Raw genomic sequence first — 23,467 nt, forward strand, 5'->3', positions numbered from 1 at the left:
TTCTTATATTGTTACCATAGTTGACAAGCTAAATGTATATAAAACTTGTTAATGGGCTGTGTGCAGTGATTCATGCCTGCAATCCCAGAACTTTGAGAGGCCAAGGTGGGAGGATCACTGGAGCCCAGGAGTTTGAGACCAACCTGGGCAACATAGTGAGATTCCATCTCTACGAGCATGATGGTGTGCACCTGTAGTCACAGTTGCGGGAGGCTGAGGTGGGAAGACCTCCTGAGCCCAGGAGGTCAAGGCTGAAGTGAGCTGAGATTATGCTACTGCACTCCAGCCTCGGTGACAGAGCGAGACCCTGTCTTCAAAAAAAAAAAGCTATGAAATTTGTTAATGATTATAGCTGAAAGCAGGATTCTCACTCTAATTTGCCCTTGTCCTTTAAGATACTGGATGATGAAGCTGCGCAAGAGTTAATGCCTGTGGTCGCCGGGGCAGTGTTCACACTGACTGCTCACCTAAGCCAGGCCGTCCTCACTGAACAGAAGGAAACATCAGTCTTGGGACCAGCAGAGGCCCATTACGCTTTTATGCTTGATAGTTGCTTCACCTCACCTCCTCCTGAAGAGAACCCATTAGTGGGTTTTGCTTCTATTGGAGATTCTTCACTTTACATCATATTGAAGAAACTGTTAGACTTCATTTTGAAGACAGGTTTTTTTCATTTAAATTGTCTATAAATTCTATCTTTTGTATTTGTTTTAACTTTAATTGAGAAAAGATTTTCATTTGACATCTTCCTAATCTCCCTAGGTGGTGGATTCCAACGAGTGAGGACTCACTTGTATGGCTCTCTGCTTTATTACTTACAGATTGCCCAGAGACCTGATGAACCAGACACCTTAGAAGCAGGTAGAATGAGATCAATTCCTAATCTTTTCTGGATTGGGAGATGGTTACTTTAAATTGAAAAAAAAAATCACTTCTCCATCTTTTGACTAATCACAACTGTAAAAAATGAGTGTTAGTGTCATTTTTAAAGCATTTACTCAAAAGTTGAGGAAGAATGTTTAGTTTTTAAGAATTATGAAGTAGTACATGAGTACTACTTTTAAGATAACCTTCAAATAATACTTTAGCTTTATATACTTCTGTAACTCCCTCACTTGCCTCAAGTCCGACTGAACAGTGTGCTCTACATAGAATGGTCCAATGTCTTTCTTTCCTTTGTGCTACATCAGAGTACTTATCTAGTTGATTCTTTTAAAATATCTCGGCCTGGCATGGTGGCTCACGCCTGTAATCCTAGCACTTTGGGAGGCCGAGGCCTGTGGATCACCTGAGGTCAGGAGTTCGAGACCAGCTTGGCCAATATGGTGAAACCCCATCTCTACTAAAAATCAGAAAATTAGCAGCCATGGTGGCAGGCATCTGTAATCCCAGCTACTCAGGAGGCTGAAGCAGGAGAATCGCTTGAACCCAGGAGGCAGAGGTTTCCCAGATTGCGCCACTGCCCTCCAGCCTGGGCAACAAGAGTGAAACTCTGTCTCAAAAAGAAACACAAAAGTCTTTGTTATTCCATGATATGGATGAAACACTTATCTGCCATTTTCCTTATTCACAGGCATTTCAATTGTTTCTAAATTTTTATTACAAAAATGCTACATCAACTTTTTTTATATGCCTATATTTCTCAAAAAGGATACTGCTTAATGGTGGAATTTCCATGTGTAAAAGTATGTACTTTTATTTTAAAAAGATTCAAATGAATGACCTTCTCCAGTATAAACTCATCAATAGTATACATGTATCTTTTTGTACTAGTGAGGTTTTGTTTGGATAAATTCCAAGAAGTGGAATTTCTTGGTCAAAAGTTAGGCACATTTAAAATATTGCTAAATGCTGCTTTCTAAAAAGTTAGCATTTTTAATTGAAACTAATCTTAAGACATGAAAATGTTATTAAGTGTTCAACACATCAGTATATAATGCTTTATATACTTTATAGACATTTGATGTTCAATCAAGTTATTCAGAGTTATTCTGCCATTTGTTAAGAAGTTGTCAGAGCACCTTCTGATAATGGATTTTCTTTGGGCTCTTCACCTTTGTGAGTGTTATTTTGTATACACTGTTAAAAACCACTGTGTACGTAAGGTTGACTTGATCTCATTATCCTTATGGTGGTTGTATTTTATGCCATACATAGTACCCTATAAGGTAGTAATAGCCAAATGGTAGATTTATAGGCATGTAGCACCCACATAAATAATGCATGAGAATATTTGTAAGATGAGGAAAAATAACAGAATAGTTTAGAGAAGTTTTTTAAGCAAACATGAGCTTCTTTTAAGAAAAGAGATAGTAATGGGATTTCTCCACTCAGCACCTCCCACATTTTTCTTTTGTGTGTGTGTTTTTCTTAACATTCCATTTAGTTGAATTGGCCAAGTCACCACTTAACCACTAGGTGGGGCTCTACAATAGGCTTTTTATAAGAAGTCATCAAGATGCCAATTTAAAAACTGCTGCTATGTAGCAGTTGGAAAAAATGAGATTAGTTTCCAATACAAGTTATTGCTTTATTTAATGTACTTGTGAAATTTTTAAAGAGTCTCACATAAGAGTATGTTTGTGGGTCTTACATAAAATGTATGATCATACTGTTCCTAATCATTGTATAATGGTTGTGCTTTTATTTTTATAATAGGTGTGCTTTTATTTTTAATAAGTATTTCAACTAAAAAAAAGAATAAAAATATCTGATTTTTTTGGAGGCAAATTTTTGTCTACATTGTACCTGATCCTTTCTAGCTAAATTTTCTTTTCTTTTCTTTTGTTTTTTGAGACAGAGCTTCACTCTGTAGCCCAAGCTGGAGTACAGCGGTGCGATCTCAGCTCACTGCAACCTCCACCTCCTGGGTTCAAGTGATTCTCCTGCCTCAGCCTCCCCAGTAACTGGGATTATAGGTGTGCACCACCACGCCCCACTAATTTTTTGTATTTTTAGTAGAGACGGGGTTTCACCATGTTGGCCAGGCTGGTTTTGAACTCCTGTCCTCAAGTGATCCACCGCCTCGGCCTCCCAAAGTGCTAGGATTACAGGTGTGAGCCACCACGCCTGGCAATTTTAAAAGATCTCAATAAAAGATAAAAGATTGATTAGCGGCTGGGCACGGTGGCTCACACCTGTAATCCCAGCACTTTGGGAGGCCAAGGCAGGCAGATCACGAGGTCAGGAGATCAAGACCATCCTGGCCAACATGATGAAACCCCATCTGTACTAAAAATACAAAAATTAGCTGGGCATGGTGGCATGCACCTGTAGTCCCAGCTACTGGGGAGGCTGAGGCAGGAGAATCGCTTGAACCTGGGAGGTGGAGGCTGCAGTGAGCCAAGATCATGCCACTGCACTCCAGCCTGGAGACAGAGCCAGGCTCTGTCTCAAAAAAAAAAAGAAGGAAAAAAAAAAAGACTGATGAGCAGGATAAATACAGGACGTTGGTTCTCATGGAGTCTTGTAATTCATTTTGATCTCTTTCAGAATGATTTATCCTTTTCCAGGTACAATTATTATCTTAGTGTTATGAAACATGCATGAAATAGGTGCATTGTGTTATTAGAGTTAACCTGCTTGGACCCACCGGTCAGTGGGCCTTTGTGTACAAGCAGTGATGGAAGGATTTTTTTGTTGCGTTTTTTTTTTTTCTTCCTTAGCTCATACCTAGCATGTGAGGTATAATTACTCAGTTATTACACTGCTTTTTACTGGAGTGTTTTTTTCTGTTTTAATCCTTTTAGCCAAGAAAACCATGTGGGAAAGGCTGACAGCCCCTGAAGATGTATTTAGCAAATTACAGCGAGAAAACATAGCCATTATTGAAAGTTATGGCGCCGCCCTCATGGAAGTGGTCTGTCGAGATGCTTGTGATGGTCATGAGATTGGAAGGGTAAAGCAACTCTTATTTAGTATTATAATTGAATAAGTATTTTGACTTATTAAGGTATAAACTGATTCACGGCTGGGTGTGGTGCCTCATGCCTGTAATCTCAGTGCTTTCGAAGGCCAAGGTGGGTGGATTTCTTGAGTATAGGAGTTTGAGACTAGCCTGGGCAACATGGTGAAACCCCGTCTCTACAAAAAATACAAAAAATTAGCCAGCCATGGTGGCATGCACCTGTAGTCCCAGTTACTTGGGAGGCTGAGGTGGGAAAATTGCATGAGCCCAGGAGGCAGAGGTTGCTTGCGGTGAGCTGTGATCGAGGCACTTCACTCCAGCCTGGGCTGCAGAGTGAGACCCTGCTGCAAAAAATAAAATAAAATAAATTGATTCAACTTTTAATAATGTATGGTACATATTAAGAATCATTTTTTATAATATACTGTATTTTCTTATTTGCTATAATTTGAGACTTCTGTTTTATTTATTCATATGTTGTGTTTAATTTTGTTAGAATCTTAATTCAGAATTGCCTTTCAGAATTATCTTCTTGCTAATTTTGAGGTTGACTGGTAGAAACAACAGAAACGCTGCTTAATAAAGATCTTTGGTTAAGAGAATGCTGAATAAATTGCCTTGTACTGAATAGATCTTTGTCTGCCTAATTGCTTTGTGGAGAATTTGTATTTATATTTCTTGTACAGTATGGTGGCACACTGGTAATGATGCAGTGAGAAGATAACTTCTTCTTAATGGAAAATTATGTAGCAAAATTATGTAGCAATTAAATCATGTTTTTGAAGACCATAGGAAATAGGATTTTAAAAAATAAACTGGCATAACCTTTTAGTTACGTTTCTTTGTTTGTTTGTTTGTTTGTTTTTGAGATGGAGTCTCGCTCTGTCGCCCCGGCTAGAGTGTAGTGGCGCAATCTCGGCTCACTGCAAGCTCCGCCTCCCGAGTTCACGCCATTCTCCTGCCTCAGCCTCCCAAGTAGCTGGAACTACAGGCGCCCGCCACTACGCCTGGCTAATTTTTTGTAGTTTTAGTAGAGACGGGGTTTCACCATGTTAGCCAGGATGGTCTCGATCTCCTGACCTCGTGATCCTCCCGCCTCGGCCTCCCAAAGTGCTGGGGTTACAGGCATGAGCCACCACACCCGGCCACCTTTTAAGTTATGTTTTAAAAATTTTAAAATATTTGTATGCATAGAAAAAATACTGGTAGGAGACAGACCAAAATGGATGAACTGTATTTATCAGATTGTGTAGTTATTACTTTTTTTTTCTTTTTTCTTTTTATTGAGACAGAGTCTTGCTCTGTTGCCCAGACTAGAGTGCAGTGGCATGATCTCGGCTCACTGCAACCTCTGCCTCCCAGGTTCAAGCAATTCTCCTGCCTCAGCCTCCCGAGTAGCTGGGATTACAGGCATGCACCACCATGCTGGGGTAATTTTTATTTTTATTTTTATTTTTTTTGAGACAGAGTCTCGCTTTGTCACCCAGGCTGGAGTGCAGTGGCACGATCTCGGCTCACTGCAACCTCTGCCTCCCAGGTTCAAGTGATTCTTTGCCTCAGCCTTCCGAGTAGCTCAGATTACAGGTGCCCACCACCACGCCCAGCTAATTTTTTTTGTATTTGTAGTAGAGATGGAGTTTCACCATCCTGGCCAGGTTGGTCTTGAACTCCTGACCTCGTGATCCACCCGCCTTGGCCTCCCAAAATGCTGGGATTACAGGCGTGAGCCACCGCTCCCGGCCTAATTTTTTTAATGGCCAGGCTTGTCTCGGATTCCTGACAAGTGCTCCACCTGCCTCTGCCTCCCTAAGTGTTGGGATACAGGGGTGAGCCACTGTGCCCAACCTAGTTATTATTTTTCTGTGTTTTCTGTAATGAGCATTATAAAACTTCACAGTGAGAAAAAACAGCTGTTAAAAAAATTTCTTTTCTCTAACAAGCAATGTTAGAGTCTACTAAAATACATCTAATGCCACTAGTTTAACGTGTTAGGTTTTGTTTTGGAAATACATCTTTACCTGAGAGCTTTCCTTTATTGATAAATTGAGGTTCTGGAGCCATAGTTTTTAACTTCTCAAAAAAAAATAAAAAGGAAATTTTGTTGCAAGTAACATTCTCTTTATGAAAAACATTCTTCATATTTCATATCTGATGTCAGATAAATTCAGTTACTGTTGTTGATTTTGGTAGCATCTACATGTTTTGGACTTTAATTTATTCTTCCTTCAGATGCTGGCCCTGGCTCTACTTGATAGAATTGTCTCCGTGGATAAACAGCAGCAGTGGCTTTTGTATCTTTCTAACAGTGGCTACTTGAAGGTCCTCGTAGACAGCTTGGTAGAAGATGACCGTACTTTGCAGAGCTTACTCACCCCACAGCCTCCCCTTTTAAAAGCACTTTATACTTATGAATCTAAAATGGTAAGGCTTTCTAGACATTTGATGTTAGATCAAGAAGTCGTTTTCTCTTGGCTATAGATGTATTAAAGAAAATTAATGTGGCATACATTCTGAATATTTCTATCATAAGCTGGAATCCTTTTTTAAGGAGTTTTAAACTTTGGAATCTTCCTAGTGTGCAAAAGATGAGTGAAATGATCCTCAAAGGGATAGCTGGATAATGGGACTGCTGCTTCCCTCACTCACTCAGGTTGCTCATGATGGCAATATGACAGCCAGTGCTCCGTGAGGACAGAGCAAAATTGTCCTCTCACAATACAATTTAGACTATAGTAGTTGCCTATTGAAAATTTCCATGTAGATATGCTAGTTCTATTCTAAACACAGCATTTTCAATATAGTATATAATTCATTGTTTCTTTGCCTGCAAATCTGTTTTAATTTCTTTTTCCTCCTAGTTAAAAGGATCACAAATGTTACGATAATAGAAGCACTGAAATTTTAGATTCTTCATTTACTCCTTTTTCCTCCTTCATTTATTTAACAGGTATTTATTAAATACCTGCAAAACGGCAGGCATGGCACTAGGTACTAGAGACACAGCTGTTAGCAAAACAGACAAAATTCCTTGCCCTCCATGGGCCCACATGATAATAACAGGACCCACACTGTAAACGAATACTTGAATCATGCAAGCTACTGTCTGTGGGCGCTTTAGATATGTTGAACACTGAGTCCTCATGAAAATCCTAGGAAGAAAGCGGTATAATGTAACCTGTCACTAGCCCAGATTTCTCTTCAGTGATAACTAAGGATGAGAAATTTGCCATCAAAGTGTTGCACTTTTCTCTGAGGCCCTTGGACATGATTTCAGCACTGATGATTTTTCTCTTGTAACTCCTCAGGCATTTCTCACAAGAGTGGCAAAGATACAGCAGGGTGCATTAGAGCTGCTAAGATCAGGGGTGATTGTGAGACTAGCTCAATGCCAAGTCTATGACATGCGCCCAGAAACGGACCCGCAGAGGTAAGTGTCTGTATAGATTAATTTGGTTAAACTCCCAGTAAAGGATTATTAAGGGAAGAAAAAATTCCAAACATAATTTTGCCGCTTAGCAATTCTCTTTCATCTTGGTGTGGGTTTTTTTGGTCATACTGTGCCCCTGTCATTTACTAATAAATGGAAGTTGCTACTAGGGAAAAAGTAGGTAGGAGTGGGAGAGAATTTAGTAAATGTGTACTTGCCCAATGTTATTATTATGTTCAATTGAAATACTTGTTTGCAGTTACACTATCTTTTAAAGAGTTGTAGTAAAATTATAATTTGTTATGGATTTCCTGTTCCGGATGATTTGAATAGAATTTCAGATTATATATATATTTTTTCTGATTTCAATATTTTGCTTACTGCTTGCTAATTCAAAAGCTTCAAATGGAATTGTTTTCAAGTTTCAAGCTTTTCAGCTGATTTCTTAGTTTCACATTCGATTTGAATGTGGAAAATTTGATTTGATTTTCTTTTTTGTTTACATGACTGCAGCATTGTTAGGTAGATAGCATACCTTCCTAGAAGTAAATAATACTTAGTTTGAGTTTAGTAATTGTTTTAAAAGGATCTATTAGCAACTTGAATGTTTGGATTTTTAAGGCTTAACTACAGAACTGTTTTACCTCCAGGGAAAAACATTTATTTTAGTATTGCGGTCTAAAGTTTCAAACATGAGAGTTATTACTTTCACCTTAGGTAAAGTGGGTTGAGTTAAATACTCTTTAGTTCATGGCATGCTATTATCACTTGTCTGTGCAAAGCCTGTCTCTTATTTTCTTATTCTGCTTTCGTTCCCCCTCAATAGGCAGCCATTTTTTTGGTCTAAAAATTTAAATATAAACATTAACAATAAATATTAGCTTATTAATACGATGTTCTGAGACCTACTCTGAAAGGTTAAGTGATTTTACAGCCTCATTTTGACTCTTAAATCTTGTTTTATTTTTATACAGATTGAGCTTCTCTAATCTGAAAATCTGAAATCTGCAGTGCTGCTAAATCTCAAACTTTCTGAGTGCCAATATGATGCTCAAAGGAAATGCCCATTGGAGCAATTTGGATTTTGGATTTTCAGATTAGAGGTGCTCAACCAGTAAGTATGTATAATGCAGATATTTCAAAATCCAAAAAAATCTGCAACACTGCTGGTACCAAGCATTTTGGGTAAGTGGTACTCACCCTATACAATGGGCAGCATAGTGGATTTTTGGCTTGGGTAGAGGAGAGAGAATTTTAGGGAAAGTAGCTTTTTAAATCTGTTTCTTACTTAACAGCCTATATGGCCCAAGGAAGCTTTAGAGAAGAATAAAAATGTTTTGGAAGTTTCAAGCATTATCTTGTCAAATTACATAGGTTTTCCTCGATAAGATTTTTCAGAATTCAAATAACTGTTTTTACTAACTAAGCTATGAGTTTAGGAAGACACATCTTTCTCTGGACCGCGGATGTATATATGGGATGCAGAGTACTCACTAGTTGATTCACATCTTAATCAGCCGGCTCTGATTTATTTGCCATATCAGTGTTAAGGAATTGCCGAGAGTATACCTTAATTCTTGGAATGTTTTCTCCTTGTTTGGTTGAAATAAGCATGTTTGGCATGAGAGACCCTCCAATGTTCATCCCTACCCCAGTGGATCGCTACCGCCAGATTCTCCTCCCAGCTCTCCAGCTGTGCCAGGTCATCCTCACATCTAGTATGGCCCAGCACTTGCAGGCAGCAGGGCAGGTAAGGTGAACCCTTTGTTTAGATATTGTCTAGAGCAAAATCCTCATTTTACAAGTACAGAAACCTTACACACATAGAATGCTTAAGTGAATTTACGTTAGTCCTAATGTTTGTGGCAGAGCAGGGTAGAGAAAAGAGGCCCCTGTACTTTGTTCTTAACTACATTGGTCCATTTTTATACTGTTGTTTGAATGAAACACTGTAGCTAATTAATAGAATCATAAGACAGGAAACAAGAGATTGAAATTTGTTCTTCTATAAAAGAAAGCAGTTATTGTGATAGGAGTAAGCTGGCTTCTAAAGTGTAATTTAACCAGGTATCTATTGAGAGAGGGCTATGCTAGGCCTTGCAGGCTGGGCATGGTGGCTCACGCCTGTAATCCCAGCACTTCGGGAGACTGACAGATGATAATACTGCATTTATATATGATAGAGAATGAAATAATTTAAATGAGTGATTTTGCTGTCAAAATTTTTTTAAATACCAGAAATTAGTTTTATTTTGATTACTTTTCAGTGAAACACTAACATTCCAACACACATTTTTTTAAAAATTAATATTATATGTAATTTAGCCTTTCACTGATTGATTAGGCTTATCATGAATCTACAACCTTGTATTGCTTTATTGTATTTTGGAACTGTGTCCTAAAACACTTTGATTTCTGGTAATTTTTTCTGCTTTCTCTACCATCAGGCCTTAGGCCATCTCACCAAGGTAGATGCTGCTGTTCTAAAGTGGCACCTTATTTTATATCATAGCAATCTGGGTTGACGTCCTACTTCTTTTAGGCCTATGTGGTCTTCAAGTTAGTACTTTTTAAAACTCAGAGACTTTGCCTTTCTTCCCCTAGATTGAGATTAAGATTTTTTAGTAGAAGTGGGACATTATGATATAAGACACTGGTTCCCTAACACCAATCTTGTATTGACTGAAGCAGAATCACCTGAGGAGCCTCTTAGAGAAGCACAGATGACTGAGTTCTGTGACCAGACATTATAAGCTTAGGCTAGGAATCTTTATTAAAAAACAAAAATGATCACAATTCTGAGTGATTCACATCCTTGGCTTGTTTTGGCATATAGTCTGCCTTTAAAATGTTTGTAAGCTAGTTGAGATATTCCTAAGTGAAAATACTGAAAGAGGACTCCATGAGTGTACATTATAAAATGCCAAAGTGGAAGGGTAGAGCTGGGAGGTCAGGATTTATATCTCCTTTTTTTAACCGCATCAAAAGGAGAGTTATGGCCAGGTGTGGTGGCCCATGCCTGTAATCCCAGCACTTTGGGAAGCCAAGGTGGGAGGATCACTTTAGCCAGGAGTTTGAGCCCAGCCTGGGCAACATAGTGAGACCCTATCTCTCTCTCTCTCTCTCTCTCTCTCTCTCTCTCTCTCTCTGTCTCTCTCTCTGTCTCTCTTTTTTTTTTTTTTTGAGACAGAGTCTCACTTCGTCACCCAGGCTGGAGTGCAGTGGCACGATTCCAGCTCACTGCAACCTCCACCTCCCAGGTTCAAGTGATTCTTGTGCCTCAGCCTCCTGAGCAGCTGGAATTACAGGTGTGCACCACTGCATCTGACTAATTTTTGTATTTTTAGTAGAGATGGCATTTCACCATGTTGGCCAGGCTGGTCTCAAACTCCTGACCTCAGGTGATACCCGCCTCAGCCTCCCAAAGTGCTGGGATTACAGGCGTGAGCCACCATGCCTGGTTCCTATCTCTATTATAATAAAAATGAATTTTTTTAAAAAAAGAATTAGACAAAAGCTTTTATGTGATTTCCCCATGTCATGCTAGTTACTGTTTCATAGAACAGCTTCTTGAATTCACTAGTCATTTTTATACCCATTTATATTACATTCTTACTCTAGTTCATTTGGCCAAACAATAAAGAAAATAGGGGTCAGATAATAGTTTTCATACAGTAGTTCTGAGTTATATTCTTCTACAGTAGTCTCCAAATGTATTAACTTATAAGCTTTAAAATAATCCTTTAGTCTTGTGAATTTTAAATGTTTACTTCCTGAAGAGATAAATATGTGAGTGCAGAAAACAATTGCTTATCTGTTACTCATCCTCACTTATTGTGAGGCTGAGTATTGTATTACTGAGTATTATGGTAAAGTTGAAGGTTACTTCCTTCAACATTATTTATAAAATGAATTATGCATTTATATATAATTTTCTACTTCTACCTGTTTTTTCTATTCCTCTTCCTTTTCAATGGCTTAGGTATTGCAGTTTCTTATTTCACATTCTGATACCATACAAGCAATTCTGCGCTGTCAGGATGTTAGTGCTGGGTCTTTGCAGGAATTGGCTCTGCTGACAGGAATTATAAGTAAAGCAGCACTTCCTGGTGAGTTGATTATGTTGAAAGGATTTTTAATAATTCTTTAAAGACTGACATAAATTAATAGAATGAGTTTTTTTGTTACTTTGCAGCTATATATGACTTATTTGAAATTGGTACTGCTAACAGAGCCTTTATTTATGTAATAAGTTTATGTTTATAAAATGATACATGCTTGGCTGGGTGTGGTGGCTCATGCCTGTGATCTCATCACTTTGAAAGGCTGAGGCAGGATGATTGCTTGAGGCCAAGGGTTCAAGACCAGCCTGGGCAACATAGAGACACCCTGTCTCTACCAAAAAATTTTAAAAATTAGCTGGGTGTTGGGGCATTCACCTGTGGTCCTGGCTACTTGGGAGGTTGAGGTAGGAGGATTACTTGAGTTGGGAAGGTTGAGACTGCAGTCAGCCAAGATTATGCCACTGCAATCCAGTCTGGGCAACAGAACAAGACTCCGTCTCTGTTTTGTTTTGTTTTTTTTTTTTAAGATATAGGCTTATTATAAAAATATTCAAAAGGAGATAACTAACACTCAAAATCTCACCACCTAGAAATTACCAAATGTTGACATTTGATAAATTTTCAAACATTGCTTTATGTGTACGTACATATGAGAAAGGGAGGGGGAGAGAGAGAAAGAAAGCAACAGAGACATACAGAGGCAACTAATGAGAATAGGATGACCTTTTACATGCTGTTTTAAAAAACAAATATTTAATTTTACATGAATTTATTTATTTTTTTATTATACTTTAAGCTCTAGGGTACATGTGCACAACATTCAGGTTTGTTACATAGGTATACATGTGAATTTTACATGAACACAGACAAAAATCTAATTGAAGAGAAACGAAAGGAATTGCCAAATTCCAGACAAATGTTTCTTTACTACTAGAGTATGTCACCTTTTAAAAGATCACTGCGAGTAAGGAAAAACATTATGAAACATTATTAAGATACTTTGGTTACTTTCCCCCCTTATAATTTCTTTACTACATGTAAATTTTGAATCAGTTAACTCCCTGATGGGAAAGATGAAATGATGACTTCTTTTACACTTCCTCTTCCACCCTCAGATGATGTTTGCTTATATCATTTTAACCTTGTCAGGTTTTGTAACATTTACATCTGTTATGCAACCATAATATCCTCAGCTACTTAGTTTTAGTTGTATATTTACATGGATTCACTGCAAAACACCAGTTGTGTTCCCCACCATGGCGTCACCATTCACGAGTTCTTTCTTTTGATTTATCTCTTGGTATTTTTTTTTTTCTTTCTTTCTTTCTTTCTTTTTTTTTTTGAGACGGAGTCTTGCTCTGTCGCCCAGGCTAGAGTGCAGTGGCGCGATCTCGGCTCACTGCAAGCTCCGCCTCCCCGATTCACGCCATTCTCCTGCCTCAGCCTCCCGAGCAGCTGGGACTACAGGCGCCCGCCACCACGCCTGGCTAATTTTTTGTATTTTTAGTAGAGACGGGGTTTCACCGTGTTAGCCAGGTCTTGATCTCCTGACCTTGTAATCTGCCCGCCTCGGCCTCCCAAAGTGCTGGGATTGCAGGCTTGAGCCACCGCGCCCGGCCTATCTCTTGGTATTTTTAATTTGTACTGAGGTTCCTTCCCTCAAGAAAAAGCATGCTGTCTCATATTCCTGAAATTCTCTAAGAATGTCTGAAGGTTGTCTTTGTTCTTTAATGACAGGACGGCCGATTATGATTTTCTTTTGCTTAGAATATGTAATATAAATGATAGTAGCTGGCATTTATTAAGCATGTATGTGCCAGGTACTGTTTTAAATACTTGACATGTTAATTGATTGGAAGACACAGCAGTCTTATGAGGTAGAACTGTCATTATCCACATTTTACAGCTGAGGAGGCTGAGGCACAGGGAGGTTAACTTGTCCAAAGTCACACAGATAACACTGCATAGTATAGAGTTTCCCAGGCAGTACGTCTTTTGAATCTATATATGTAACTACGAGGCTACACTACCTCCATTTTTATGTTGCTTTGGAGATGTCTGAGGCAACCTCTGAATCCACCCTATAATCCCCAATAATTTTTTTTGTCTGGGCTGTCTCGGTGGCTGAGCCCTCTGGGTTGAGAGACGTTGAGAGTTGGCCAGGGCTGAGTACAGTGCCAGCTGAGTTACTTGGAGCCTGTGCTTCTTCCAAGGAGATCCCAGGGTCTATTCCACCCAGCCTGTGGTGTGCTTCGTTCACCAGTTCATTCCAGTGTCCTAAGATGATACCAAGTCAGGCCACCCTTCTTGTCTCTACTAAGGTCCTGTAGTGTTGTGGGGTGGAACTCCTAATGGTTTTTCCTTTGATTTTTTCCAGGACTTAACTAATTACTCTCAATGTACTTCTGTAAATTGCAGGGTCTCCATGAGATTTTTTCTCATCAGCACATACAGCTCCTGCCCATCCTTTTTAATTGACTGCCTGGTTTTCCAGTTGTGAGATAGTTAACCAGACCCTTGTTTTATTTGTTTGTTTGTTTTTGTTTTTATTTTTGGGGGGACAGGGTCTCACTCTTGTCACCCAGGCTGGAGTGCAAAGCTGCAATCGTGGCTCACTGCAGCCTCGACCTACCTGGCTCAAGTGATCCTCCCACCTCAGCTTCTCAAGTAAGCAGGACTACAGGCACATGCTGTCACACCAAGCTAATTTTTTATTTTTTGTAGAGACAGGGTCTTGCTATGTTGCCCAGGTGTTCTCGAACTCCTGGCCTCAAGCATTCCTCCCACCTCAGTCTCCCAAAGTGCTGGGATTACAGGCAGGAGCCACCACGCCTGGCCTATTTGTTTGTTTTAGAGACTGGGTCTTACTCTGTCACCCAGGTTGGAGTGCAGTGGCATGATCATAGCTGGAACGCCTGAGCTCAAATGATCCTCCTGCCTCAGCCTCCCAAGTAGCTGAGAATACAGCACACACCACCATGCCTAGCTAGTACTTTGTTTTTTAATCAGATTCTATGACATGTTGACTGTTTCCAAGCTTCTTAAAATTTTAAACAGTGTGGCATTTAATAATTTTGTGTGTATATGTGTGTGTGTACTTATCTGTTTACCTCTAGCTATATATTTACATATGCATTCATGAACATTTTTTACATTTGTTTTTATTTTTATTACTTTTTTAATTTTTAATTTTTTGTTGTTGAGACAAGGTCTCACTATGTTGCCCAGGCTGGTCTCAAACTTCTGGCCTCAAGCAATCCTCCCACTTCAACTTTCCAAAGTGTTGGGATTACAGGCGTGAGCCACTGAACCCGGCCCCATTTTTGTCCATTTGAACTGATAAGACTTGATAAATTCCTGGCAGTACTTTATCAGAAATATATGTGCTTAACATTTTTGTTAAAAATAATACCAAATATCCTCCCAAGCTTTTGAAAACACTTTTAAACAAGTTATACTACTATCAACCCTGTTGTGTACAGTTCAGCCCTGTATTATCCTATAATTTGCTATAATTTATGCACATTTGTCTTAAACGCTCCCATTAGATTGCAGTTCTGTTTGTAACTTTGTATCCCCCATGCTGCCTAGCCCACTACCGTGTATGTTGTACCTCCACAAATCTTATCAGCAGATTTATTTTGTTTCTGTGACTCACAGATATATATATTTTTTAATTTCATTTTTTCAGATAAAGATGAGGCCTCACCATGTTGTCCATGCTGGTTTCAAACTCCTGGACTCAAGCAGTCCTCACACCTCAGCCTCCCAAAATGCAGATGTGAGCCACCATGCCCAGCTGGCTCACAGATATTCTGAAAAGTATTTTGGAGTTGAGAGTGATTGATATACATAGAATAGTTAGATGGCATTTAGCAGAAAGATCTTACGGAACCTGAGAACTGGAAGTCCTTTTAAATTGAGGCAGCAGTTGACATGCAGGGGAAAGTGAACTTTGGAACAGCAATACCTGGTGCAGAGTTCAGCAAGTTTGAGGACAAAGAGGAAAAAAAGTCTTAGTTTCATGATAGCGTTAGGTGCAAAATCAAGGTTTCAAGGAGTTCAGATGGGAAAGGAGGGCATAAGAATTATGAATACAAGCAGCAACTGAAGAAAAACTTTCCAAAAATTGATACTAACCAAGTTTTTGCTTGGTTTTGTTTTGGAGTACAAGAAAGACTTTAGCCTATTTTCAAATAGGAAAACTCTTCTGTGGCAGGGTAGATGTTAGTATGTTAGAAGAGAAAGCGATCCTGGGAGGAGACTCTCAGAGGAGTTGAAGGTGGGACAGGATAAGCTCTCGGGAAGCGGTGAGGCACGGATAGAGGTATAACGAGCCCACATGTACCAGATGATAGGATTTTCTGTCAGTTTGTGTTGAGGGCTGAGCTAATCTAAAAAGAGGAGGACTTGTCATTATGAGGAGAGAAGGATCAGGTTCTTGGTTATGTGCTATGGAGTCTATGCTTGGAAGTGAGTACGAAGTGAATTAAAGGAATCTGAAAATACATAGGAAATTTGAGTGGCTAGGATAGGTTTAGGTGGGTATTCCTCAGCATGATTAGTGATGGAACAAGGAAACAAACTGATGGGGAGAATGACATGTTATGGTCACTGGCAGGCTCATTAGAAATCAGGAGAGGCTATGGCACTATTAGAGGTGGGTCATTTCGATTTAGGAATTTTGTAACGGGTCCAAACTAAGAAGTTGAATGGAAATGTTTTTGTTTTCTTTGTAAATTGTACTTTGCCTAGGGGAAAAGCAAAAGCAAATTATGTATATTTAGAGGTGTTAAAAAGAAATGCATTTTATTCTTACTGTTTCATATTCTAAAAACTCCTTTATGAGAAAGTAATTTAGAAAATTACTTTTATCATTATAAAAAAATTAGATTTTTCTTGAAAACTAAAAATGCCTTTTAAGATCATTTCACTCTGCATTTTAGATTGGCTTTGAATGCGCATGTACCGGTGCTGTTATTAATATATAACAGGTACTTACAGTCTTTGTAAAATCATAGTTCTCAAAACTTTTTTATGGCAAGAATATCTGTTCATGCACATAAACAATATAAAATATTAGAACCTCTCTTCCTAGTTTTTAATGTTTTTGTTTATTATAATAATATGTTTTAAAGCATTCTACATTTTATAGGAATATTAAGTGAACTTGACGTTGATGTAAATGAAGGGTCTCTAATGGAGCTACAGGGACATATTGGAAGATTCCAGGTAACTGATTCTTATTTCTTTAAATAGCAGTTATAAGACATGTTACAAAATATACCATCCTCCCCATTGTGCCCCCTAGATTTGGGAAACCCCTTTCAACTGTTTTGGTTCTTTAGTTTTTCTAAATAATATGCTTATATTGCTGCTTCTTGATTTTCTAATTTTAGTAATCATCTGTTGACTTTCCATTGTTGGGGGATGGGGAGGAGATGAGAATTTAGATGTTTTTACTCCTTTTCTTCCATCATACAATGTATACATTTCCCATAACACCCCCTGAAACTCAATATAATTACATCATAGTTTTGGTTACATTAATATTTAGTGTTACATTATTATGACTGTGTAAATGTCATTTGTGAATAAGCCACGAGCAGACTGTTTGCCCTAGAGTTTTCTTTTTTATTTGCTTGGTTTTTATGTACTTATTACTAATTTATCCCCAGATTCTTTACAAGCTCTGTAATCTCCTCTCAATATGTTCTAACATATTAGTTTGTCAATTAGATATTTTATCAGTCTTTCTGGGAGCCTCTTGGCCTGGTTTGGTCTGAGCATCTTTACTTTGTATTGACTGCAGAGTAATTGTATTTATGTACTAGTGTTTATATCCCATTGTTTTTGATACAACAATTTTCTTAACTAGTCCTTTTTTCATGCGCTGTTTTTCAAGATTTCATAAGAAAAATGCTACTATTAGCATTTTTGTGTACATATTTTACTCTGGATTAAATAACACATGGTATCACTGGGACCGAGGGTATACACATAGTACATCATTTTGAAATCATAATTGTCAAACAGCATTCCAGAAAAGATTGTACTCTCACCCACAAAACCCAAATACTTTGGGTTTTTTAAGTCATCTTTTATTGGTATGGAGGAAGACACCTTTTTGATGGATCTTTCATAAGGTGAGCTTCGGAAATGTTTGAATGCATCTATTTTATCTGTAAGAAGCGGCAAACACACATTTATAAATGTTAAACATAGATAGAACTATTTTGGCAAAATAAGTTTATATTATAGTCTCATTAATATGTTTTGCCTTATCGAAACTTACAGTGGCCGGGTGGGATGGCTCGCTCTTGTAATCCTAGCATTTTGGGAGGCTGAGGTGGGTGGATCGCTTGAGGCCAGGAGTTTGAGACCAGCCTGGGGAACATGGCTAAACTCCATCTCTATTAAAAATACAAAAATTAGCCATGTGTGGTGGTGCACGCCTGTAGTCCCAGCTACCTGGGGGGCTGAGGCACAAGAATTACTTGAACCTAGGAGGCAGAGGTTGCAGTGAGCTGAGATCAGACCATTGCACTTTAGCCTGGGCAACAGAGTGAGAGACTGTCTCCAAAATAAATAAATAAAATAATAAGACAGTGTGTATTATGTACGTGTATACCTCTCTATGTATCTAAATCTGTATATTGTATTACCAATTTTTAAAATATATGTTTCATTTAAAATACACTTACTATGTGCAGAACATTGTGCTAAGCACTTTAAATATAATACCATGTCTCAGGGAATCCTGACAGCCATCTTATAAGATAGGAATTGTTATTACCACTTTAGAAATGTGAACATGCAGGCGTGAGAAATTCCAGGTCACAGAGCAAAAAGTTGTACCTGTTATTGGAACCCATGTCTCTAATTTGAAAGCCATCGGCTAACCTCTGGATATACTGCCAATATTGAAAAGCTTGTCCTTTCTCTTTGAGAACCATGGGAAATACTGTATTCTCAGGTGAGAAGTATTAACATTTGAAACTGGGGACATTTGCATTTATCTTCCAAGGTGATCTGTGTGTTTGTAACCCCTTTATGAAGTCCCTGGGAGCAACCACAGGAGTAACAGCTTTTAGATTTGTGCCTTGGTAGACAAAATTATCACAAACGTGTCCATCTTGTGACTGCCCTCTCATTTTGCTTCTCTTTTGTTTATAAACTTGTTTTTCATTTAATGAGTATCTTCCAAAGAATTAATACCTACTTTGATATAATGCAGAAAGTTATTTGGCAAACATTTAGATGATACTGGGATTTATTGCTTTAAAAAAAAAGGGTACTCTTTTCATCTGTTAGCTACCAATCAAATACCTTTGCAAAAAGTTGAATTTTAATAATGCTACTTTTAGTTGGCTCAGTTTTAAGTAAGATATTAGATGCCTTAAGGACTGATTCCATTCTCCACTGAGTTTTTCTTGTTTCTATCCCTCAAGAAAGAGAGGTTACTAATTTTAAATACATTTAACAAGATATCTTTTTCTTGTTAGCGCCAGTGCTTAGGACTACTAAGTCGCTTTGGTGGCTCTGACAGACTGCGTCAGTTTAAATTTCAAGACGATAATGTGGAGGGAGATAAAGTAAGCAAGAAAGATGAGATTGAACTGGCTATGCAGCAGGTAAGAACCATGTGACTTCTCTAAGGTTTTTATGTTTTTGGAAAATGTTGATAAAAATAACAGATGTGGACCTGGTGCGGTGGCTCACGCCTATAATCCCAGCACTTTGGGAGGCCAAGGCGGATGGATCACCTGAGGTCAAGAGTTGAAGACCATCCTAGCCAACATGGTGAAACCTTGTGTGTACTAAAAATACAAAAAAAATTTAGCTGGGCATGGTGGCACGTGCCTGTGTGCCCAGCTACTTGGGGTGGCTGAGGCAGGAGAATTGCTTGAACCCAAGAGGCAGAGGTTGTAGTGAGCCAAGATCACGCCACTGCATTCCAGCCTGGGCAACAGAGGGAGACTCCATCTGAAAAAAAAAAAAAAAAAAGAATACACAGATGTGAGTCATTTTACAAATTGATTGATAACCTTTTCTTCTTCAAATCTCGATTTTCATGCTAATTGAGACATTTCAGGGTCTTAACATTTTTGTTACTGTTTTTTGATTATAGATTTGTGCCAATGTAATGGAATATTGCCAGTCACTCATGTTACAGAGTTCCCCTACCTTCCAGCATGCTGTGTGTCTCTTCACTCCTAGCCTTTCAGAAACAGTTAATAGAGATGGACCGCGGCAAGGTGAGCTTAGTTTTTCATTCTGTATTGAAGGAACTAAGTTGCTATGGTTATGACATAGCTCTCCAGCTTGGCTCCAGTAAGATGCAGTATTTTCTTTTAAGTGTCATTAATGGGAAACATTTTAAATAAGTTTTAAAGTTGAGCGGGAGGTATTATTATTAGACCTATGTACAAGACTGGAGAGAATAGAGAAATTCAGGATTTACTGAGAGTAAATCTAGAGGAACCATGTTTTGAATAGCACTTGAGGGCTCAAAGGATCTAAATTGGGGAGTCAGGTGGCTGGGTGGAAAAGATGAAAATACAACAAACAGTTTTATATGTTAAATCATGTTAAGCTGAATTCAGTGTCTAAACTGGGTTTTTTATTATAGCTCCAAATTTCTATAACATAACGAAATACAATTTAGATACTAATTAGGCCAACTTACCCTATAATTCTTTAATGATTCAGTAGGGAATGTTTGAATATGGGGCAGGATAATGGGTAAAGCTGTTATCCTATGGAACACTCAGAAGAAAAAGCCCATTAGTATCTTGGTGGGGATAATGGAATTGACTGTTGGTGATTTCAGGAAGTCTTTGTTTGAGATCTGTGAGAAAAATTTTGTCACATTTTCATCTTCTTCAAGATCTTACTATCCCTGAAAATTACTTAATCACAAAAAATATGTGTTTAGTATAATAATAGTATAAAATGACATTATGAAAAGTATATTAGTGGCCGGGTGTGTGGTTGCTTACGCCTGTAATCCTAGCACTTTGAGAGGCCGAGGCAGGCAGATTAACTGAGGGCAGGAGTTCAAGACCAGCCTGGCCAACATGGTGAAACCCTGTCTCTTCTAAAAATACAACAAGTTAGCCGGGTGCAGTGGCGCGCGCCTGTAATCCCAGGTACTCTGGAGGCTGAGGCAGGAGAATTGCTTGAACCCAGGAGGCGGAGGTTGCGGTGAGCTGAGATCACACCACTGCACTACAGCCTGGGCTACAGAGTGAGACTTTGTCTCAAAAAAAAAAAAAAAAATTAGTTTAACCCAAAGGATTATAAATCATTCTACTATAAAAACACATGCACACATGTTTATTGCAGCACTATTTACAATAGCAAAGACTTGGAACCAACCCAAATGTCCATCAATGATAGACTGGATAAATAAATGGTGGCACATATACACCATGGAATACTATGCAGCCATAAACAAGAATGAGTTCATGTCCTTTGCAGGGACATGGATGAGGCTGGAAGCCATCATTCTCAGCAAACTAACACAGGAACAGAAAACCAAACACCACATGTTCTCACTCATAAGTGGAAGTTGAACAATGAGAACACATGGACACAGGGAGGGGAACATCACACACCAGTGCCTGTCAGGGGATAGGGGGCAAGGGGAGGGATAGCATTAGGACAAATATCTAATGCATGTTTGGCTTAAAACCTAGATGACAGGTTGATAGGTGCAGCAAACCACCATGGCACATGTATACCTATGTAACAAACGTACACATTCTGTACATGTATCCCAGAACTTCAAGTTAAAGAAAAAAAGAAAAATATATTAGTTTAGCAACATTCAACCTTATCCTATATAAATTATGCTAAGAACTTTGTTAGATAAATTCTATTATAAAAGGTCCTAGCTAGTAGTATTAAATTTGTTGTTGTTGTAATTTATGTACAACAAAATTCACCCATTTTAGGTATACAGTTTGAATGCTTTTTGGTAATTATATAAAGTTGGGTAACCATCACCACAGCCAAAATACAGAACAATTCCCTGTTCCTTAAAGATTTCTTCCTGCCTTTGATTGCATTTGATTGTTTCCTTCCACTCCGGCCCAGGCATCTACTATTCTGATTTTTGTCACAAAATCTCTGCCTTCTCCTACCAGTGTCTGCTTCTGTTTGTATTATGTCTAGGCTTTTTCGTTTTATGCCATGGATGGGGGAGAAGAGTACTGACTGGTAGAATCTTAGTTTGTCATATTAAGACAAACTAAGTCCTTAATAGCTAATAAAATAACCTTTATTTAAAGGTATCTTTCAGTGATTGAAAGGGAGTAGTCTTAGGTGACAGGATGTCTTAAAGAAACTGGGGAAGTAGCTACAAAGATTTGTAGTTCTATTTTATAGAGTAAAATAGTTAAATTAGACTGGACATGTAAAATAGTTCCTTTGGCTTAAACAAGTTAATTCTATATAGTTCTTGTTTTCTCCTGTATTCAGAAATTTGGAGCCGGGCATGATGGCTGAGCCTGTAATCCCAGTTACTCAGGAGACTATGGCAGGGGGATCACATGAGCCCAGAAGTTCAAGGCTGCAGTGAGCCAAGATCATGCCTCTAACAAAAAAAAAAGTTTGCTGCCAGGAAGATAGGATAAAAAGGGGCCACCATGGGGGGATTCCAATATCTGCATGTTGGAATCAGGCCAAGGCATGAGGGGAAAGGTTTATACAAACCTGATAGCCTCTGAATGCGCAAATATTTTCTAGACTTGGGCAAGTTAGTATGGTAAGAATTCCTGAAATGCTTTGGAGTCCTCCAAGCATTCAATCATCCTCTTTGTGGGTATCTTCCTACCAGGGTAGAGATTATACAAATGTTATCTGGGGACCAGGATACCTAATTTCAGTAGGAGAAGGCTCTCTATAACAATGTATTGTGAAAACTGTCACATCTTGCTGTAGACTAGAAGAGGATACCTGGCAAACTGAATTTGTCTAGGATGTCTTAGTTGGTGGCAGCATCCACAGACAAAGGACTCTTCTGTCTCTTCCCCTCTGTATAAAGATGTATGAGATTGGCCAGGTGTGGTGGCTCACGCCTGTAATCCCAGCACTTTGGGAGGCTAAGGCAGTACGTTGCTTGAGCCCAGAAGGTAGAGACCAGCCTGGGCAATATGGCAAAACCTCATCTCTACCAAAAAATACAAAAAAATTAGCTGGGTGTGGTGGCGTGCACCTTTAATCCTAGCTACTTGGGAGGCTGAGGTGGGAGGATCACCTGAGCCCAGGAGGTTGAGGTGGATCACCTGAGCCCAGGAGGTTGAGGTTGCAGTGATCCCTATTTGTGCCACTGCACTCCAGCCTGGGTGACAAAGTAAGAAACCTGTCTCAAAAAAAAACAAGAAAGAAAGAAAAAGATCTATGAGTCAGACTTTAGAGCAAAGTTAAGGGAGTTGATAGTGAAGAAAAAGCAAATGTAGATCTCTCCTTCAGTATTCATGGCAGTTTGGGTCATTAAACAAAGATTATCTCCAAATTGAACTTGAAATTGCCACAGTGTTGGGCCAGGTGTGGTGGCTCGTGCCTGTAATCCCAGCACTTTGGGAGGCCGAGGCGGGTGGATCACCTGAGGTAAGGAGTTTGAGACCAGCCTGGCCATCATGGTGAAACCCCATCTCTACTAAAAATGCAAAAAATAACTGGGTGTGGTGGCATGCGCCTGTAATCCCAGCTACTCGGGAGGCTGAGGCAGGAGAATCGCTTGAAACCAGGAGGTGGCGGTTGCAGTGAGCCGAGATCGAACCACTGTACTCCAGGCTGGATGACAGAGTAAGACTCCATCTCAAAAAAAAAAAAAAAGAAATTGCCACAATGTTTCCACGAAATCCCTTAGTCACTAGAGGAGATTGCTCTAATTGCACTACACAGACTATCTCTAGGATGATTTTTTTTTTCTTTTCTGTAGGGACGGGGTCTCTGTTGCCCAGGCTGGTCTTGAACTCCTGGCCTCAAGCCATTCTCTCTCCTCAGCCTTCCAAATTGTTGACAGGTGTGAGCCACCGTGCCTGTCCTAGGATAATATTG

General features: G+C 39.0%; 1 protein-coding gene across 2 annotated transcripts in view; it reads left to right on the forward strand.

Moving 5' to 3' along the window:
* Window positions 1-23,467, forward strand: part of NUP205 (nucleoporin 205) — a 90,837-nt gene that overhangs the window by 61,111 nt on the left and 6,259 nt on the right. For both annotated transcript variants that reach the window (NM_001329434.2, NM_015135.3), the window contains exons 29-38: window positions 396-663; window positions 763-861; window positions 3,750-3,898; window positions 6,137-6,328; window positions 7,213-7,334; window positions 8,946-9,084; window positions 11,317-11,443; window positions 16,554-16,630; window positions 18,904-19,032; window positions 19,530-19,656. In NM_001329434.2, the coding sequence (NP_001316363.2) occupies window positions 396-663; window positions 763-861; window positions 3,750-3,898; window positions 6,137-6,328; window positions 7,213-7,334; window positions 8,946-9,084; window positions 11,317-11,443; window positions 16,554-16,630; window positions 18,904-19,032; window positions 19,530-19,656 (1,429 nt within the window). The remainder of the gene's footprint in view (window positions 1-395; window positions 664-762; window positions 862-3,749; window positions 3,899-6,136; window positions 6,329-7,212; window positions 7,335-8,945; window positions 9,085-11,316; window positions 11,444-16,553; window positions 16,631-18,903; window positions 19,033-19,529; window positions 19,657-23,467) is intronic.

The sequence above is a fragment of the Homo sapiens genome, chromosome 7, assembly GCF_000001405.40.
Source record: "Homo sapiens chromosome 7, GRCh38.p14 Primary Assembly".
Taxonomy (NCBI): domain Eukaryota; kingdom Metazoa; phylum Chordata; class Mammalia; order Primates; family Hominidae; genus Homo; species Homo sapiens.